We start from the raw sequence: 22319 nt of genomic DNA, 5'->3' as shown, positions 1-22319 counted from the left end.
AAAAGCTATCTTCCTGTCTATTATTGTTTTCTTTTATTTTCTTTTTCTTTTTTTTTTTTTTTGAGACACTGTCTCACTGTCTCATTGTCTCACTGTCATCCAGGCTGGAGTGCTGTGGCATGATCACAGCTCACTGCAGGCTCAAACTTCTGGGCTCAAGCAATCCTCCCACCTCAGCCTCCAAGTAGCTGGGACCACAGGCATGCACCACCATGCCCGACTAATTTTTGTATTTTTCTATAGAGATAGGGTGTCACCATGTTGCTCAGGCTGGCCTGTGTATTCTTTATGTAGCAACTTACTCTTTACTTGATCCGCACTGCCTTCTTTGGCAAGGATATAATGGTAGATTTGGGGATAGACTGCTCAATACATATTATTTTGCTTCACTGAAATATTTGTCTTCTCTTTTCTTCCCATGACGTCCCCAGTTCCCTTAGCCCTCTCTCCACTGCTGGAAATGCCTTTCCAACTCCATCACCATCTAGTTGGCTGCATCCAAAGCCTTCTATGATCTGGCTCCAAATTCCAGAGCCTTCTCTGCTACAGATTTTTACGTAGCTTTTGAAAGTTTTTCTGCTGTACTGGACACTTCCTAAGATCACCTTACACTTCCAAAGCTCTGGCTGGGGTTCCTGTTGCTCTGTCTTTCTTCCAATTCCTCTCCACTTCTGCTATGATGCTGTTATTTTTGTGAAACTTTTGCTGAATCTCCCAGTCAATATTATCATAGTATTATGTAGAGTGAAAGGTTGACATGTCTGAATTTTTCAGGAGGTTGTAAATTCTTTGAGGCCAGGAATCATTTCTATTCAACCTCAAATACCCTGGTTACCAACAGTACCTTGATATGGTAGGTACCTGACAGATATGTAGATAAATATTATCCCAGCCTACTTTTCTAGCCTAATATCACACTATTTTCCGATAAAAAACCATTTATTCAGTTTAAGTGAGCCACTCAAATTCTGCAACATTTTATTTTAACCCATGACTGCAATATTTCAATTGCTTCCTATGGCTCTCAGGATAAAAACCAATTCCTTAGCTTAGTCTCACAATGCGATTCTCTTATAACTGAAGGTCTGCACTCTGCCTATCTTCTCTTTCTTTCTATCCCTTCAGTCGTTCACATGCAGTCTTCTTTCCAAGCCTATCAAACCACTGAACTTTCCCCCAAAATGTCATTTTCTTTCCTCCATGCCTTTGTATATGTTTTTCCCAGTTTCTGAAATGTTCTTCTCTTTATTCTTCTGTGACCCAGTGCTTATCCTTTAGGATCTAGCACAAGTGTCAGGGCCTCTACAAAGCTCTTCCTAAACTCAGGGGTGACTTAGACTCCCTCCTTTGCTTACGCCTGTGATAATTATGGTAGCGTATGGAGTGGTTTGCTTATGTGTACCTCCCACTAAATACAAGTTACTTGAAGTAATCAGAGATGGTGTTTTAGTGTTTATACCCGTGGTTCTCAACCTTGAAGCTGCATCTTAATCACTGGAGGAATTTTTAAAACACGGATTTCTGGGCCCCATTCTCAGAGTTTCTGAGTTGGTCATTTAGGGATGGGGTCCAAGAATTTGTCTTTTTGACAAGTTGCTAGGTTACGCTGAGGCTGCTGCTCTAAGGGGGCTCATCACTGACACAATCAATTTTGGTGTCTAGCACGTTTCCTGAATGAATTAGAGGCTTGATAAAATTTTTAAAAAGAAAATTACATGCCACCTTAAAATAAATAAAAAGTTTTTGAGTTGGGTATTAATTGTGTTACCTTCATTGTGGACACAGTTATAAGGGAGTTATTTATTTAAAATGCAGCTTATTATTCAATCAAATAGATGCAATGTGTCAGTTTTCCTCGAACCTGTATAGGCATCAGATTAGCCCAGGGAGAGTGTTAGAATGTACACATGGGGCCAAACCCCAGAGCAGCCTACACAGACTCTCTAGGTGGGAGCCCATGAAACCTGTTGGCTTAACAAACACCCCATGTGATTTTCAGCCATTTTGGCAGCAACCAAATTATTTATTTGGTTTAAGCAACCATAAATAATCTATGCCTTATTCATATTGATTCAGTTAGTTTATCTATTTTATCCAGTAACTTTTAAACAAGTCTTTAGTTAAACGTGGCACATACAAGGAAAATCCAAACAGGACCACTCAGAATTTCAATACCGACTATACATAAGCTCCAGGTATTTGTAGGGGTGCCCAAGAATGATGACTTCTGGTTTTAAACATCACTAAAAGAAACGAATAGCTAAAGGTACTATTGACTGTGCCATATAACTCTTCTTGAAATATTTCTCAAATACTTACTATGCTTTCCACACAGGTAATTTTCATTTATCAAACGGTTGCCATAAAATAGACAGGTGCACCTTCGGGTAAGTCACACGGCTGGTGTGTCACCGAGCAGGGTGAATCATGCTGGAGCCTGTGACAGGACAGTGGCCCAGCATCCTGCCTCACAGCAGTATTTCTGGAATACTGCTAGCATGTCAGTAGACTCCAAATTGGTTAGGTGCATCAGTGAAGAAAAAAAGTAAGCCTCTTCAATATTCTACCAGAATGACAAGGCTAAGTCCCAGAAGAGGGACACGGAAATAAAATATATTAAAAAAATGTAATTCTTCCTCTTACTACTTAATCTAAAGGAAAATAGAAATGAATAGATTTAAAAAATCCTGGTTGATTGTATTCAATTGTTACTGTCATTCAACAAACATTTCTACATACATACTATATGCCAGAGGGTGCTGAGTTACTGTTGACGGTGAAATTATGTGTTAGAAGATGTATAGGTCTGCTGCTGTTTTCTGACCTGTTGGAGTCAGATACTTTGAAAACAGCAAAGGTAAATTTGTCTCTGGGGAGAAAGTTGTTGTTGTTTAAATATTAATATCACATACAGGGTGCTGCTGTTATATGTGCTGAGTTTACTCTTAGGAAAAGTGATAATTTACTATGTTAAGATTAAGAAAGAAATTGGAAAAAAAAGAAGAAAAAATAATGGAGGAATCTGTTTTAGTTCTAGTTCCATCAGAACTCTTAAAAAGATAGAGGCTGCCCATAATTTCTTGAGTTGAGAAGTAACTGTTATCTGTGTGGAAAAGGAGGAGAAAATAACGCAGACCTGATCTATTCATGTTAGTTCCTTCTAAAAGATCATTTGCATAGAACACAGCGCATAGAAAAAGAGGAACCAAAATTTTTCCAAGCTCTGGTCTCAATTCATTGAGCTATTTGTCATGTGCTCAGATTGAATTTGAAAGTGTAGGGAACTTCTATGATTTTTGGCAGCAAGATCTCTGAACAAGATTTGTGAATTAGTTTGGGAAAGCTGCAAAATAATATGATATGAATATTTGAAGATACCCTATATGTATGCTATAGTATAATGCACTTATTGTAGATTTGGGGAACTGATGCTTACAGATTAATTGACTTGCCCAATTTGTATGTCTAGATAGTGGCACAGTTGTCATTGAGACCAAGGTCGCCTGACTCCCTGTAAAGAACTTCTTCCACTGTATCACAGTGTTCTTAAATATCTTCAACAGTTTAATTTATCAAAATTTTATTTGATTCTTTGGGCGATGGTAACTGGTCATTAAAAACAAAACAAAAACAAAAAAAAGTCATTTCTTGTTCTGTTTCTTAGAAGCCCCCTTTCAGAGTTGTCACTCTTGACTTTTGTAAATGTGCATCAACTTGAATAGTCCAGCCATGTTCAACACTGCCCCCGCAGTCCCCAACCTTCTGAGATTAAGATAAAAGTGCCCCTAAGACTCACCTCCAATGCAGTCATGTTTTTCTGATTTACTGCAAATAGGCGATTAGCTTCTCTGATTTTATCTGTGGCTTCTCTCAAAAGGTCCCAAGCATCATCAACTTTGTTTTTGTAGTCAGCCAGTTTTTCCCGGAGATCCTTCTCCATTTCTTCATTTTCCCCCCGGGACTCTCCAAACAGCTTCTTCACTTTTTTCAGAAGGGCTTCTGCAGCTCTGTAACCACCCCCAGCCCAATAATAGACAATGAGCTCATGTCACTGCCTTAGGGTTTATTGGTATTAAACCATGTTACAAAGAGATGCTAACATGAAAAGAATGAGAAAATAAGAAAACATGTAAAATAGATTCACTGTGTGCTAAATCAAGTTGAAAACTGGTACCTGAGACCATTTATAATTAATTAAAATAAAAGCGAAACAGATTTTTAAGAAACCTTTTAAATTTGTAAGTAAAATAACATTTTGAATCATGTCATTCTAGGAATCTGATTGATGAAATGAGTTTTAAGATTCACTTCACATACCAAAATCAAACAATCCACTTGTTTCATTGTACTGAGACCTTTTCTCTATTACTTTGAATGTAATGATGAATATTGTTATGTTTGCTCAGAAACTGTGAACAGAATTCTAGGTCATTGTCATGCTAGTAGACTAGCATAATTTTAATCTATGTTTCTTTTTCTTCCAACTGATTGATCTGGAAGTTTTTGGATTTAACTTACCTAGTTTTTCTAAAGTGATAATTTTCGAGTCATTAAGAAACTCTAAATACTTGAAAGACAGTAATTCTCAAACTAACATGCCTCATAATCCCCTGAAGGGCTTGTTAATACATGGTTTGCTGGGTCCCATCCCCAAAGTTTCTGATTCAGGAGGTCTGGGAGGGGGTCTGACAATCTGTATTTTTAACAAGTTCTCTGGTGTGCTGATATTGCTGGTTTAGTATAAATTATTTAAGTATTAGTAATACTACCACTTTGAAGTTAGCTGACTATGAATGTAGAGATGTATCTATTTTATTGAGTGCGTTATCATAAAAGTTCTTTAGCATGGGTAAAATCACTATCACTTTTCCCAACCCTCATATTCGCAACTCTTATTTGAAAGTATTAGGTGTTTATTATTTGATGACTTTTCTTTTCAGCATTTCTTAAGATGATAAAATGTATAGGTTGGCCAATATATGAATGGTAAAGTCATAACTTTGTTTATCCAAAGGTATTTTTATTAAAACAAAAATCAACTGATAGTCCAAAAGTCCCTAATGCAGATGATTAACAAAACAAACTCATTAGCCTAATTACAGAAGGAGCAGCACCAGAAAAGATCATTTACTTGATTATATGTAGGCAAGAACATGCTTTTGATTCATTTTGGAACAATGGTAAAGTACAATTAAATAAGTAAATGAATAAATAATAGATGGTAGATAGATAAATAGATAGATAGATAGATAGATAGATGATAGATAACATAGCAAATATCTCCAGGTTGGAAAAACAAAGCATCTTTTACTTATACGTGTGATAAAAATTTAGAAAACTGTAAATTATCTGGAAATCTCAGTTTGTCAAAAGAAAAAATAATAACTCATCTACTCACACCAACTCATCTTCAGCAATTTCCTTTTGTGTCTCTAGATTTTTCCTCCTCAGTTCTTTAATCATCTGGTCAATCTCTTTCTGAAGCCCTTCCAAATTTCTCTCAAAGGCCTCGTCTCGAGTTCCTAGAGTTTCATTTAGTTTTATAGCTTTTTCATTTACAGCTGCAGGGGGTAAAACAAATTTTGTAAATTAGTAAACAAACATGCCACATGAAAACATGGTATTCAGCATCTGCTGGGCACCACCATCTCCAAATGAAGAGTATTTTGCCGTGAGTGTTCCTGCTGGGAACCACAGAGGCAGTTAAGACAACAATCAGTAACAAACAGGGAAATGTAATATGTTTCTCAATATTATATTTCTTTTGGGGGTTACAGCAATTAAAGCATGGTGTTTCTAACCTCAAAAGAAAGAAAGAATTAAAATAAAGAAGTAGGTCGAAGCATACTCAGGTAAGAGTTTAAAAAAAACAGTGACCTGTAGCATAACACTTGGAGGCTGGAAACGCAAGCTCTGCATTGCTGATAAGATAGTCATAGCAGTGGCTATCAGTCAGTTTAAAAATACTGAGTGTGGAAATACACTCAGTGATGAGATCTCTGAAAATGAACCTGCCCTTGTATTTCCACATAGTTCTCCTGTGTTCATTTTTTAAAGGAGTGAAGAAAGAAGCACTGGTCTAGACTTATAACCCTTCTAGGAGAAGGGTTATAAATTAGGCTTCAAGGACACTTTCCAGCAATAGCATCCTTCACAAGGGTCTGTGTTTATTATGCATTAAATGGGGTTTCAAACTGTACTCCTTGGAATCGTAGGATTCTCCAGGTGCTTCAGGTTTTCTACAAATGATGTCTATTCTGCCAAGAGTCTGCTTTATAGGCTGATGTTCTGGGCAGGATTTCATTTGAGAAAAGAATTCTACGTCAAATAAAAGTTTAAAATGGTGAATTGAAACATTTACACAGTTATATTATTAGTTTTAGACTAAAGTTTCCTGGAGTGTGTTCTATAGGACATTTTTTTGGTGAATTTAAGAGAGATGTTTTCTCAAACTCTTTTGTCAGCTGAATACTTATTTCTATAATATTACCTTTGAAAACTCCTAGAATGAGGGGTCTCGGTTGGCCAAGAGGCATTTTCTACCATTCAAGGGTGTATCCGAAGATCTCCTTATGACATAGAGATTCCTGAAAATTAATTTCTATTCTTGGAGAGAGTTTTGCACTGGGCAGAGCTCCTGAAACAGGTGTACATAGTCAGGACAAGCAGAGCAGGCAGAGGGGTATGTGAGAAGGTGGGTCAGTACAGTGGTTCTAAAATGTGGTCCCCTATAAGCAGCAGCAGCATCACCACCTTGGAGCCCATTAGAAATGCAGATTCTCAGGCCCTGCCACAAACCTACAGACTCAGAAATTCTGGGGGTGAGGACCAGCAATCTGGGCTTTAACAAGCCTTCTCAGAGCTTCTGATGTACCCTAGAGCTTGAGAAACACTGGGATAGTAGAAAGAATTGAGTTTCAATGTCTAATATACCCTTTCCACAATGCATCTTTATAATTCTTTTTTCGTTATATATGTCTTTGGTTTAAAAGTTCCTGTAGTCAGTACTTTAACCCTGATAGCCAATGCTGTAGATTGAATGTTTATGTTCTCCTCAAATTCATATGTTGAAACCTAATTCCCAATGTGATGGTATTTGGAGGCAGAGCCTGATATGGTTTTTCTCTGTGTCCCCCCACCGACCACCTCAAATCTCATCTCAAGTTGTAATACCCACATGTTGAGGGAGGGGCCTGGTGGGTGGTGACTGAATCATGGGAGCAAACCTCCCCCCTTGCTGTTCTTGTGATAGTGAATAAATTCTCACAAGATCAGGTTGTTCGAAGGTATGTGGCACTTCCCCTTTCATTCTCTCTCTTTCCTGCCACTATGTGAAGAAGGTCCTTGCTTTCCCTTTGCCTTCTGCCATGATCGTAAATTTCCTGAGGCCTCCTAGTCATGCTTCTTGTTAAGCCTGCAGAACTGTGGTCAATTTATACGTCTTTTCTTCATAAGTTACCCAGTCTCAGGTAGTTCTTTATAGCAGCGTGAGAAGAGATTAATACAGAGCCTTTGAGAGGAGATTAGGTCATAAGGGCAAGAATGAAATTAGTGCTCTTATAAAAGGGATGCCAGATAACCCCCTTGCCCTTTCTACCACATGAAACTATAACAAGGAGACAGCCATCTCTGAACCAGGAAGCAGCTCCTTACCAGGCACCAAACCAGCCAGCACCTTGATCTTGGACCTCTCAGCCTTCACAAATGAGAAATGCATTTCAGTTATAAGGCACAAAATCTATGATATTTTCATTATAGCAGCCCAAATGGGCTAAGACAGCCATGGTTTAATTAGCAGAAATATTTGAATCACATGTCTTAAAGAACAAATATGGCCATTCCTAGCCCTGTGGTAGAAGTTATTGTCAGGTGCTGTATTCCTAGAAGTTAGTGAGGGTGGCTCTTTCTTGACCCACTGCCTAACAGTTATACCTTGACATATGCCAAAGAATCCTCCCAATATTTCACCACTATTGTCAGTAAGATACATCACCTAGGCTGTGTCTCAATTTTGTTACAGAATCACAGTAACCATAGGCTGATTAGTTTGAAAGCTCCCTGGTCCAGCAAACTAGGTGGGAAGCCTTCCAGAGTACCAATGATTAAATGTAAGAAGCTTTCTGCTTCTTAGATTTCAAGAAAGCAGTAGCAGATTTGGCTCTACCTATGGTACTATCTCATCCTTTAGTCTGAGTGCATGCTATCTGTATAGCTGACTTTAACCAATTGTAGCATGTAAGTAACTACTGATATAATTTGTACTCACTTTTTAAAATGAAGATGATATTAATAAATGCCACTTCCCAACCTGCTAAAGCTGTATGTTTTTTCTTTGTTAAATGAATATGTGTGTGTGCGCGCGTGTGTGTGTGTGCGTGTATAAATCAGCTTTCATAAGAAATATCTTTTGAAATTTGATCTAATTTAGATTCTGGGCCTAGGCAGTATAGAGGAAGGGAAAAATGAGAGACAGAGTCTCACTATTTCTCTTGTGCTCTGGTCTCAAAGCTAAACTTCTGCAGAGAAGAATCTGGTGGAAAAAGAATGACAACAGATAGAGAAAGGGAAAAGGCAAATATGGCTGTATCTTTTGGATGGCATACATAATTTCTTTAAATTAAAACCATTTGTAAACAAGAAGCAATCATTAAGGTGCACAAAAATGACTTTAGCAAAATGATCATGTATTAAGAAAGCAAGCTTTGTTACATAGGAATACATATGCCATGGTGGTTTGCTGCACCTATCAACCCGTCAACCAGTTTTTTGTTTGTTTGTTTTTGTTTTTTTTTTTTTGAGATGGAGTCTTGCTCTGTTGCCCAGGCTGGAGTGCAGTGGCACAATTTCTGCTCACTGCGACCGCACCTCCTGGGTTCAAGCGATTCTACTGTCTCAGCCTCCCGAGTAGCTGGAATTATAGCGCATGCCACCGTGCCCAGCTGATTTTTGTATTTTTAGTAGAGATGGGGTTTTGCCATGTTGGCCAGGCTGGTCTTGAACGCCTGACCTCAGGTGATCTGCCTGCCTTGGCCTCTCAAAGTACTGGGATTACAGGAGTGAGCCACCACGCCCAGCCCATCATCTAGGTTTTAAAGCCCCTCATGCATTAACTATTTGTCCTAATGCTTTCCTTTTCCTCTCCCCACAACCCCCAATAGACTCCAGTGTGTGTTGTTCCCCTCCTTGTCCATGTGTTCTCACTGTTCAACTCCCACTTATGAGCGAGAACATGTGGTGTTTGGTTTTCCATTCCTGGATTAGTTTGCTGAGGATGCTGAAGCTTTCAGCTTCATCCATATCCCTGCAAAGGACATGATATCATTCTTTTTTATGGCTGCATAGTATTCCATGGTGTATATGTACCACATTTTCTTTACCTAATCTATCATTGATGGGCATTTGGGTTGGTTCCATCTCTTTGCATAAATAGTGTTGCAATAAACATACTGTATATGTGTCTTTAGAGTAGAATGATTTATATTCCTTTGGGTATATACCCAGTTATGGGGTTGCTGGGTCAAATGGTATTTCTGGTTCTGGATCCTTGAGGAATCGCCACACTGTCTTCCACAATGGTTAAACTAATTTACATTCCCACCAACAGTGTAAAAGTGTTTCTACTTCTCCACAGCCTTGCCAGCATCTATTGTTTCCTGACTTTTTAATAATTACCAATCTGACTGGTGTCATATGTTATCTCATTGTGGTTTTGACTTGCATTTCTCTAATGATCAGTGGTGATGAGCTTTTTTCATATGTTTGTTGGCTGCATAAATGTCTTCTTTTGATGGGTTGATAGGTGCAGCAAACCACCATGGCACAGGTATACCTATGCAACAAACCTGAACATTCTGTGCATGCATCCCAGAACTTAAAGTAAAAAGGAAAATAAAAACATGAGAATAAAAAAAAGAAAAACATCAAAACATATAACACATACCCCATAAAGTTTCTATAGGACATCACTGTGCAGCTCAGTCATGAGGTTGTTTTTTTTTTTCCAGTTGGATATTATCAATTGTTGCAATTACTGTTATTGAAATAGTCCCAGAAGATTTCAATGTGGTTAGGACCAAAAGAACAAACATTTTAGCAAATATATTGGCTGCTTATGGAATAAACTGCTATTCCATGGCCAGCTTTTTGTTGCAACCCATGTTATGTAAAAAAAATACAAGCTCCCCAAAATGGACATGGGCCTTCAGTATCTTTTTGGATTAAATGAGAGCATCTTTCAAATGGGTTTTTGGTATGTGTGCTACTTTATCTTCATTATGAAAAACAAATTTTAGATATGGGTTTTGGAGAAAAATATGGCCTCATCGGGACACAGATAAATTACACATGGCCCATTAAAACTTGCCAGTTTAATTTGGATAACATTTATTTATTATTAGTGTTTTAAAGTTTTATAGTTATTTTCCAGATTATTTCACTGCGCTTTACTTACCCTCATTTAACATTATTTTTGTATGGTGAACTGTCTAGTTTAATTTTTATTTCCATTATTTTTCTACTGAAAGTTAAATTTTAAAATGCTGTCATTTTCCATTTCTCTCATAGGCATCTATCACTTGCTAGGCAATATGATTTTCTTAGAAATCTCCCCCACCAAAAAAGGAAAGGAAGCATCATTTTAATAGAAGTCTGTTTCACTCTTTATAGACATATATAAACATACAGTTTTATGTTTATATACATATATATAGTTCCAGATCCTATGTATAAATAGGATCTGGAACTTCTCTGAGCATTCTTAAAGATGAATGTGTTTTTCATCTCTTATTCAAAAGTATGCACTATCACTTCAATATATTTTCTTTCCCACAGTATTGAAAATGATTGTAAAAGATGTATCTTTGGAATTTACTTATTTATTTCCAACTTAATTCAAAGGAGGATTTAGGTAATTTTTTAAAAATCCTAATATCAGATAAAATTAAAATAAAAGGAAATAGCACTACAGGTAAAAAAAAAAGTTGTATAAATTAGGGAAAGAATTAGTAGACAGAAAACCATGCCATAACGTTCAATGCAGTGCATCCTAAGTCCACTACTAAGCATCTTAGTAGACTACGCGTAGCAGGGAATACAAATAGGATTCTTAAGAGGCATACAGTATCTATAAAGGTAAGTAAAAATTCCTCAGGAGAAGCAAAACTGTTTTCATACTAAGACTGAAAACAAAATCCTCTGATGGGTAAATTTATTAAGAATAGAAAGTAATACTCTGATCTGAGAAACAGGAAGGAAAGGTGTCTATCATTGATTAAGTCCTATTGTATGTCAGGAAATAAACACTAATGGGTTTACCTATGTCCACTCATTAATTCTAATAATGCGTGGAATAAAACAGTTTATTTATGAACTAATCAGGAGTCATAGCACGGTAGATATTATAAAATTATAGTGAGATAAGAATGCCTTAGATGAATAGAAGGTGATTATCTATAACGAGGTCATGACTCATAATGAAAGATAGGATGAATAGTACATCTATCCAAACATAAAGCTGAAATAGATAAATGTCAGTCTGAAGCATTTACTTTTCCCACAGCAATTTATTACAACTGACAAACAAAAATGTAAAAGTACTGATGGTTATCCCTCATTATTATAGTTTAGAGAGAGAGAAAAAGAGGTGTGGATATACAGTATAACCTACTTTAAAGCCTTTGGTGAGTCCTTCCTTCCGTCCCTCCCTTTCTTATTTCCCCTTCCTTCCTTCCTTCCTTCCTTCCCTTTTCTTCTTTTCTTCCTCCCTCCCTCCTTTCCCTTCCTTCTTTCCCCCCCTTCCTCTTTCCTTCCTTCTTTCCATTTCCTTTCTTCCTTCCTCCCTCCTTTCCCTTCCTTCTTTCCTCTCTCCCTTCCCCTTTCCTCCCTCTGTTCCTTCCTCCCTCCCTCCCCTCCCTCCCCTCCCTTCCTTCCCTCTCCTCCCTCCCTCCCTTCCTTCCTTTTTCCTCCCTCCCCTCTCTTCCTTCCCTCCCCTCCCTTCCTTCCCCCACTTTCTCTTTTTTTCTCCATTAAACTGCCAAGCTTTGTATTACATCTCAATGAACATTTAGTGTTGCTCTGGTACAATTTAAATTTGACCTTTCATTCAATTTTAACAGTTGGATTAATTCTACCAAATAGTGCCTGCAGGCAAAAGTGAGTGGTGTTCTTATTTCCCTAAAGTATAGCTATCCCACATGGCACTTCACATAAATTAGAAAAGGGTGCCCTATCTGGACAGACACAATCAGACCACCTGATCTATGCATAATTTAGGGAACGAGAGACACCTTTGGTGATGGGTAATCCTTTCTCTGGTGTATAGACGTGGGATTTGGGGTGGTGAGCAAGCCTGGGATAAATCTCCATCTCCAGTCTACCCCTGTTGGTCCACAAATTGTACAAATAGTACCTAGAGGCCCTAGGCACCCAGAAGAAGCAAATATTCATATTGACCAAAGAGGTAACCATGAATATGCATCTCTCTTTGGTGGGAGATGGAAGGTTCATTGCAGAGAACAAAGTAAGCAGTGTTGATAATAGGATCTACTAAAACATATGCTAGCATTTATTCTCATACCAGTGTTTGATTGAAACAAATTGAAAATGAGTCCCCAGGATGGGCTGCTAGGTGTTGGGTGTTTGAAATGTCAATGGAAAGAAAAGGAAAGTTCCTGGAGCATTGACTAGGGCCTTTGGGGATCCGCTCAGAGTGAAGGTGCTCTACCTGCAGTGGGATTTGTTGTTGTTGTTGTTTTGGGTTGGAGGGGGACACTTCAAGTAGCATTAATGGAAAATAATACTAGGGAAAGTACAACAGCTTCATCTAGCAGAGGATAAACCACAATGAATTAACTGAGATTTTTCTGGCAGAAATAATTTCTGTTTCAGAACCTCACACCTTTGCCTCAAATTAGCTCTCAAATTAAAACCCTGTTGCTTCTTGCAGTGGTGAACATTTGGGAGTTTGTCTCTTCTTGGCCAGTGATGCCTAAGAATTATCAGTCAGAATCTGCCTTGAAGTTGATCTCACATCCTTATTTATTTGGCTACATTATGAAGCAAAGTATCTAAAATGCATAATATTGCAGAGCAAGAAAAATGTTTTACTGCTTCAAGCAAAAAACAACAAAAAGCATTTTTCCCAATTTCTAAACATGCATGCACGTTTATTATATTTTAACAGATATTTAAGGACTAGGTTTTTTTGGGGGGCGAGTGCGGATGGGGCATTATCTGTATTCTTTAAGTTTCTTAATTTGGGCTTTTGCCAAAAAATGGCTTCCACTTTCTCATTCATGTTAGTAGATGGCAAGAACTAACTCCTAGAGAATTGTGAGCTAAATGCACCAGAGCTTCTCATAAAGTAGCACATCCAAATCCCAAGCAACAGATGTTCATTAAAAACCAGTCCCCAGTATTTGAAAAGCCATTTGGAGAAACTAAAGTGCTGCTTTAATGTATCAAGTGGAATGATGACATTAGCTTGCTTGAAAATGAAAAATACTTTAAATACTTTCAAATAAAAACAATAACAAAACAAAAGTTGCCTATTCTTATGTAATTATAATAGCCATGTTACAAGAATTTACTGCTATTCTGCCCTCATTGTCGCTAATTCACTATTGTCGCTAATTTAACACTGCAGGTCACAGGTTCTCAGCAGATAATACCCTTGAATATCTTAACCACACTACTTTTTGAAACTCTACCTTTGATTTTACAGATGTCACTTATAACAAGAGAAATTCCAGTCCTGTGTCATCCCTTTCTGTGTTTTTCTGTTGGGAGAAATGATGATTAAAATGTGATTCTTTCTAATACCTTCTGCATCCCGGGCAAGCTCCTTAATGAATTCTCCCAGGGACTTTGCTCTTGTGTTGGTCCTCTCAGCATCCTGTCCGGTCTGCTCGCCATCTGCTGTCACTTTGGTAGCCTAATGATCCAAATTCGGGAAACACATAATTAATAGAGATGATGAAGCTACAGCTAGATAAGCTCCCACTGGCTGCATTTTCTTTCAAATATTACTTTGAGCCAACGGCAATCGATGAATTATTGATCAGATGTATTGCAAATGATGCCCCATGCTCACGTATACAATTAAACTTTATTACTTCTTCCATTAAATGGAAATCAGAGAGCTGTATTTGGTCTTTTAAAAAACGCTTGTTATATGCTATGGCAGAGAAGAAGCAATAAAGCACAATTATTTTTGAAATATCTTTAAGGTACAGATGCCAAAAGTCCTTAATGGAATCTTCAGCCTCCACATGTTGCAGTTTTGTCCATATTTTATTTACTGAAAAAGTGTGTGGAGTGCAGCAATGATCTCTTGAGAGACAAACAGGCTGTCTGCCTCAATAAGCTTGATCCTATAGATTTGTTTTAGATCAATACGTTAATTAAAGAAACAAAGAGGGAGAAATGCTTAGCTACTCAGTAGTAAATGCCTGTTTTATAACACATCAAAGATGCCAATAAAATGTTAAGGGAGAATAAATGCTAACTTTTCCATATGATAGCACCAGAAATATGCTTGTTAATCACAGAATCATGCAGCAGTGTCAGCAAAGTAAAACAGAACCCCAAAACAGCCCCACCTCCCAAAGAGTATTCTCAGGCACATTCACCTCTATTTACATTTAAAATATCATTTGACACACTGGAATGCATTCAACGTGTTCACGGTTAAAATATACCATATTTAGTCAAACAAAAATGGTGTGTGTATAACATTGTTTCTTTAAAAATTACAAGGTTTAGAGTACCCTGAAAGGTTTATACTTCATTTTTCTATGTGTTGCATATGCTAATATATAAGCCTTCTTCTCTTTTACTAAAAAGATATGGATAGTCTAACTACAGATAATGAATTAGAGAATCACAAACTGTCTCAATATAGTTTTGAATAAGGTCCAAGTTGGCAGCATATTAACACTCTAGAATCTTGTACCAGAGTGCTTGCATACTAGGCATGGCCAGAGAATTAATATTTAAAATATACGTAAGTGGATTTTAAATAGAACTAAATGTCTGGCCAGCACAGAACATGGTAAAAGACGCTAGAGGAATTGTACTGCATTTTGTGATTTTCCAAGGGCAGCAAGAGGTTTAATTTATGAAAGTTTTCAAGGTTTTGCACAAATGAAGGAATATAAAGTCCAACTATTATCATCTAACTTCTCATCCTGCAAGTGTTAACATCACAAATGAAAGGATGAAAGGATAAGAATCCATTGGAAAATTAAAATTTTTTTCTGTATAATTTGCAGTACATATACACAATAATTTGGAGAGTATTAACCAAAGTATTATAATGCTCTGGATTTATTCTTCTAAAACATTAATAATGGAATTATTTTCACTTTTGGATTTAAAAATTTTTTTGGGATAAACTGTGCATCCAGTCCCTAGGTTACTCAAATCCTTGCTTTTCTGGTGAGTGTTGTAATTATGTTCCATTAATTTCCTTAAACTTGGCTTCCTGCACGTGTTTGCACTCAAAGGTCTGATGGGTCAAATAACTTTTTACACACAGACACATATACATAAACACATTCACATACACACACACATACTCATACCCAATTATTTAAATGTTACTTCTGAATCACTAACTAAGGTCAACAGCTTGGCAGTGAGCCGAGATCACGCCACTGCACTCCAGCCTGGCGACAGAGCGAGCCTCTGTCTCAAAAAAAAAGAAAAGAAAAGAAAAAAAAAGATGTTCGTAGTCTAAACTGCTTTGGATATTTTTCTAGTCTAGACTTGACTGAACTTTATGGTACCACTCTTACTTTCACATATTACTGAACACCATAATAAGGAACTTGATCTATATTTTGGTCATCTTCCAATATCTTACCTTACGGATTAATGTATCAATACCACTAGTGTCTCTTATGGTACAGAAAATGTACATTATAATTTAAACTTAAAATATATTCTTTTTCTTCATCAATATATTTTCTGTATTACCAAAAGATCATAATTTCACACCAAGTGGACCAATTCTTATTTATAACTCAAAGTGTCTAAATTTTAAAAAGTAAATGTATATCATACACTGTCTCTTTTAAATTCTGGATGATCAAGATCATATTCATTGTCTTAACTTCCTCTGGCTTATGATCTGTTGTACAGGTTATTTCATTTACGTAGTAATGTGTAAGAGTCATCATTCACATGCATTTTATTCTTAGTATTGATTATATGATTACTTCAATACTAAATTGTCAAGAATCCTACAAACTCCATGATAAGAAAGAAGTTAAAACAATTAGCACTAAGACCCTATGCAATCAACCTCCCTGGCATAGTTTTAGTATATTAAATATGCAAAACTCATCCCTTCTTAGCACCTTCTTGTATCCCATTGTCTTTACCTAGAATGAGCTTCTCCTCAACACCTGTAAAGACTGGGTCCTTGTTACCCATCAGCTTTCAGTTTAAGTGCTTCTCCTTAGCGTGGCCATTCCCAGGGTGCTACCTAGGTTTCCACACTTCCTGCAGCAGGACGTTTCCTTCATAGCACCATGGATTTGAGAATTACTTAGTAATTGGCTCACCTATTTATTGACAACCTCTCCAACTGTAAGGTAAGCTCTAAGGGGGTGAGAACTTGGTCTGTTTTGTTTATCATATATCCAGCTCCTAGTATGATGCCTAACTTATAGTAAATATTCTCTAAAGTTGTTATATACAGGACTAAAAAACAATTTTCCTAACCAATCTTGCCAACCTTATTACCATTCTTCTTGCCTACTTCCTTTTGGAACATTCTCAAAAAAAGATTTTGTTCATACTTTTGCTTCTTAACTCTTCTCTACTTATCCAAAACAAATCCAGCTTTCGAGATTCAATTCCAACTCCATCTTCTCAGTGAAGCCCTCCTTACCTATTCTAGCACATGCTCTCTTTTCTTAGATTTTCAAAAATAATTATTATTACCACTATTCACAACTCTAATGGGTAGTGACTTTGTTAGGTGCTTTGCCATATCTCCATTAGATAGATAGATTAGAAAAGGCTAGGGATCTGTCTTACTCTTTTTATTCCTCAGAGTGCCAAGCATAGTGTCTGGCAAATTGTCGTGGGTCATAGATGTTGGGTGATTGGTGGATACAATGACAATCAAACCAATGATCCCTTGGAAGTTCTAAAGCCTATCTAATAGCACTCAAACTGACCATATGCCTGGTGCTATGCTTGCCAGGAAATGTGGTTGGCTGGGCAATTTTCTGGGCATTTTTTAGAAGCTCAGAGGAAGCTGCTGCTCAAGAGCTACAGTTGAAGCTTGGGAGAAGAGCCAGGCATGTGAATCTCCAGTCCCAACTACACTGCTTTCTAGCCACTGGCCTCACAGTAATTCAAACTGGACCTTTGAATACACACGAAGTTCCACGCTGGTGGGGTGGGAGTGGCAGTAGGGGGCAGGAAGAGGGTAGGAAGACTCTTCAGGGCCAGCACAGTGCTTACTGAAGGAGATACCTTCCCTCTAAACACAGAAGAAGAGCTTCCTCTCTAGGCTATTCCAGAAGAGGAGGAGACGTGAGGTTCCCGGCACCAAAAGCATCAACTTAATGCGGGTTAGCATGCTAAAGGATGAGTTACACAGTCAGGCTCATCTGTACCTCAGAATTACTTGTATTTTTTATATTTTTTTAACTTTTAAGTTCAGGGATACATGTGCAGGATGTGCAGATTTGTTACACAGGTTAAAAAAAAAAAACCCATGCATAATGGGGTTTGTTGCACAGATTATTTCATCACCCAGGTATTAAGCCCAGTGCCCATAAGTTATTCTTCCTAATCCTCTCCATCCTCTCATCCTTCCCATCCTCCGCCCTCTGGTAGGCCCCAGTGAACATTGTTCCCTTCTACATGTCTATGTGTTCTCATCATTTAACTCCCATTTATAAGTGGGACATACAGTATTTGATTTTCTGTTCCTGTGTTAGTTTGCTAAGGGTAATGTCCTCCAGCTCCATCCATGTCCCTGCAAAGGACATGAACTCATTCTTTTTTATGGCTGCATAGTATTCCATGGTGTGTATGTACCACATTTTCTTTAGCCAGTCTATTATTGATGGGCACTTAGGTTGATTCCATGTCTTTGCTATTGTGAATAGTTATGCCAAATTTATATACATGTTTGCAAAGGCTTACAGCACTCTCGTGTGTCTCACTTACTCTTCCTGAATTTAGAGATATATAGAAGGCATCATCCCTCTTTTTACACAGGTGAAAAGGAAGGTATGAGGAGGTTAAGTAACTTATCTGAACTTACATGTACAGGGAATTGGAGATGAAATACACTTTTTTTTTGTCTCACAGACTTATATTTTGTTTGTACCCAACACTATTTTGTGTTTGGCTAACATCCAGAAAGAGTAGTAAAATACATGAAAAACTGGAGTATTCTAGGTGAGTGGAGGACACTGCTCCAGTTAATGTATACTTTAAGTATATAAGTTTTGACTTTCAGTCAATTAACACATTTCAAAATCATATCAGAACATCATCTAGATATATTTTTAAAAATCATGTCTCATTACACAGTAATTAAGTTGAAGATTCACCCTGGTCAAAAATACCCACGAGAGACTTCATAAAGAAGCCTATGACAAATGCACTATCACCTATGGGTAGTGGTGATAGATAGTGGTATCACTGCCAAAGCAAAATTCACAAAAATCAATCTCACCCAGGACAGGCTATTGATAATGTTATGAATGAATGCTAAATACTACATGATAGGAACTATCTGTCTGATTCAGTTTGGCTCTTTCTGTGTTTTATTAAATTACCATCTCCATCTCTTAGTCATCCTTCTTCTTATTCACTATTATCTTGTCCTTTGAGTATTTGACAAATAACTTCTCATTTATCCTAATATGTTGTACAATCTTCCTTTCATTCTCTATCTTGGATTTTCTTATTTTAACATTCTCTTACCTCTATTCTGCAATCTTTACAGTGTTCCTTTGTAAATGATGCCTTACACAGTATCTTGTATCTCTCTTGCCTTTGATTACCTTTTCTTTTATGTTGACATTCACTCAACTAGGTTTTTTTTTTCCCATTTCTTTTTCTATTTTTTCTTGTTTTGTTTTTTAGAGTATTTATGTCTAGGCAGCATGCATTACCATTAGGCACACGTTAATTTACTTCTGAACAATGTAGCTGTTACTTTCCTGCTTTAGCTCAAGCAGTTCTACTGTGCCTCTTAAAATCTGCACATAATTTTCTTGGTTGGATATGACCAGTGTGTTTCATTTTCTGCCTTCTTTATGTTAAAACTAGAATCTAATGGAGCAAACCTAACTACTGAATAGATAACATTGCTTAGATACTGTCTACCTTTGCATTTGTGGACTCATATGGTTTCCTGCTAAAATTAGATTTCAGATCAAATCATTTATATGATACTCTCAAGGGTCATCTTCCAATATTACCAGCTCCATATGTCTAAGTGGTAGTGAAGCACTCATCAGGCAAGCCATAAGGACCAACAACACACAAGGAAAGAAGGAGCAACCAGCTGACCCCGTGGAATGACAATGAGCCAGTTCCATGTGGAATTTCTTCCTAAATATTTCACGTGCCAATTTTAAAAGTTCCAAACCAAAAAGATATGACTTGTTTTATATTATATATATATCTTTTAAAAATATAAAAGGAGAAATAAAAAACACTGTTAGCAGTTGAAATCTTTTAAAAACTATAAATAAAATCTTGTAAACTTATAATATTGGCACTTAAATCGTTTAAAAACTAGTTTCATCCTTTTGGAAATGTTTCATTTTCATTAAATTTGATATTCAATAGGCAATAAAATACAATATAAGTGAAACAAAATTTTAATATTTTATACAGTTCAATCTACTACATAGCATTCTCCCCTTACAGAATATAAATAGTTAAGAGGTGTTTATCAATGAAAACAAAATATTCAACAATATAATTATAAATATATGCCTGATTTTAACACATTTTAAAGAGTGCAAAATAAATGTTTATTTTGGGTTTGTCTACATTTCCATCTTGTTGTTCAAATGCTTTTAAAATCATTCACAATTAATTAAACAAATATTGACTTAACACCTATTATGTGTACAATATTGGTGATACTGTGGTAAGAAACAAAAAGGTTTCTTGCCCATTTGGAGTCTATAGTCTGGTGGACTATATAGTTATTTGTCAAATGATCATGTAGATAAATTTATAACTACAAACTAGAGGAAAAATAGTGGTATAAGATAAGCACAGGAGGAATCTTGGAACCCCTGCGATGGCACAGAGGGCTTTCACGAGCTGAGATTTGAAAGGTAAATTGGAGTTAACAGAAATTAACAAAATGTAGGGAGAGGTAGATTACCTTTAAGGCAAAATAAAGAAATGTGTGGCAATGCTTTGTGGTGGGACAAAGTGGCTGGGGGACAGTATGGCTGGAGTGCAGATGGCCAGGGGCACAAGTGATGGGAGATGTGGCCAAGGGGAGAATTTTGGTCTTTATCCTACGAGCCTAAGGGAAGTCAGGGGAAGAGTTTGTAAGCACTGCGATGACGTATTCACATTTGGAATAGCAAACATTCATTCTGGCTACGTTACGGAGAACAGATTTGGAGGAGAACAAGAGTAAAAGCAGAGAGACCAGCTAAAAAACAAATGTGGTAATCCCAAACTACACAATATGAGATTGGATGAGAGTGGGGTAGTAGAGATGAATGCCATACACACAAGTGGAAGCCCAGTGTGTGGTAATGAATTGGATAAGCAGGAGCATCATGAGGAAGAAAGAGGCACCAAAGAAAATTTGTAGGTTTCTGGCTTATACCCTCAATCCGTAGGGGTCCAGATGACCAGACCATGAGTAGTGGGGAGAGATGAGAGAGAAGCAGAGATTAGATCATGGTGGGAGAGCACTGTATGTCATCCTGAAAAAAGTGGAAAGCCATAGTACAATTTAAGGAAGAGAATGACATGATAGGATCTGCAATTTAGAATGTTCACTCTGCCATATAAATAACAACAGGTTAGAGTTGGATAAGGCTTACAAAGAGTCACCATAGAAGGAAACTGAATTTGATGAAGGATGAAAGAGGGAGTAGAGTGAAGGGCAACCTGCTAATTTCTCTTTGGGAGACTGGGCATATACTGGCGGATAAAACACTGAGATGTTCTACACAGGAGAAATAATGGGCTTTAAGAGGAAATGATGAGTTTAGTTTGAGATGTCCAATCCATAGTAAGGCACATAGGACCAAAGCATGAGAATGAAGTCAGCCTTGAAAATATAGATTTATGAATTAACAGCTTGTACATGGCAATTGAAGACCAAAGAAAGTGTTATACAGTGAGGGAAAACATGGACTGAGGCCTAGTCCCCAAGGAACACCGACTTTGAAGGGATGATGAGAGGAAGAGCCTTAGAATGAAAGGTTGGAGAATTAAGAGAAAAACAGAGAGAGGACAGTATGTTAAGAAGGAAGGAAAGATCAAAGCTGCAGAGATTTCAAGTAAAATTAATAAGTATCCAGTGGATTTAGTTACCAGATTGTCATTGGTTATCTTATAAAAACAGTTTCAGTAGTGGGCTGGGAGTGAAAATCCAGGCAGCAGTGGAGTGAGAAATAAATACAGACTTGTCTCCAAGTCTTTAAAAAATTTTGGCTCTGAAAAAAGAAAGGAGCTAAGGACAATAGCTATAGAGGTAAGTAGAGTCATCATCAAAAAGCATCTTAATATTTCACACATACTGTAGGGCAGTTTGAATATGTTAAACATGATTCTCATATGTGAGGAACTTGGGTTCTTCCAGTGAGTAAAATAAAATGGCAACAAATCAAAATGCATTGAAAGAGATATATGATTATGTAATTTTTTTACTTTATATTTATACATGAATTAAAATATATCAAAATACATTTTAAATATGAGTTCTTGGGTGGAATAATGTCTTCTTTACCCAGGGATATTAGGGAATTAGATTTCTCCATTTAAAAACAATGAGTATAAAATATAAAAGCCCTTAAAGAAGAGAGGGTAGCTCCTACAGCAGTCATGCAGGATCAACCTTGACATGTGCTCTTAAATCTAAAGACTGTATCAAGTGACTGGTGAGCCAACCAAGCAGAGAAAAAGGAGCATAACAAAGATTGGCAGTAGTGCTGGGCATGGTGGCTCACGCCTGTAATCCCAGCACTTTGGGAGGCTGAGGCGGGTGGATCACCCGAGGTCAGGGGTTCGAGACCAGCCTGGCCAACATGATGAAACCCTGTCTCTACTTAAAAAAAAAAAAAAAAAAATTAGCTGGGCAT

General features: G+C 37.2%; 1 protein-coding gene across 2 annotated transcripts in view; it reads right to left on the bottom strand.

Annotated features, from left to right (window-relative positions):
- LAMA2 (laminin subunit alpha 2) overlaps window positions 1–22319 on the bottom strand; it is a 633429-nt gene that overhangs the window by 119515 nt on the left and 491595 nt on the right. For both annotated transcript variants that reach the window (NM_000426.4, NM_001079823.2), the window contains exons 35-37: window positions 13819–13930; window positions 5399–5561; window positions 3797–4007 (exon numbers count right to left, since the gene is read on the bottom strand). In NM_000426.4, coding sequence (NP_000417.3) covers window positions 3797–4007; window positions 5399–5561; window positions 13819–13930 — 486 coding nt within the window. The remainder of the gene's footprint in view (window positions 1–3796; window positions 4008–5398; window positions 5562–13818; window positions 13931–22319) is intronic.

Source organism: Homo sapiens, chromosome 6 (assembly GCF_000001405.40).
Source record: "Homo sapiens chromosome 6, GRCh38.p14 Primary Assembly".
Taxonomy (NCBI): domain Eukaryota; kingdom Metazoa; phylum Chordata; class Mammalia; order Primates; family Hominidae; genus Homo; species Homo sapiens.
This window is presented reverse-complemented; position numbering and strand designations above follow the sequence as displayed.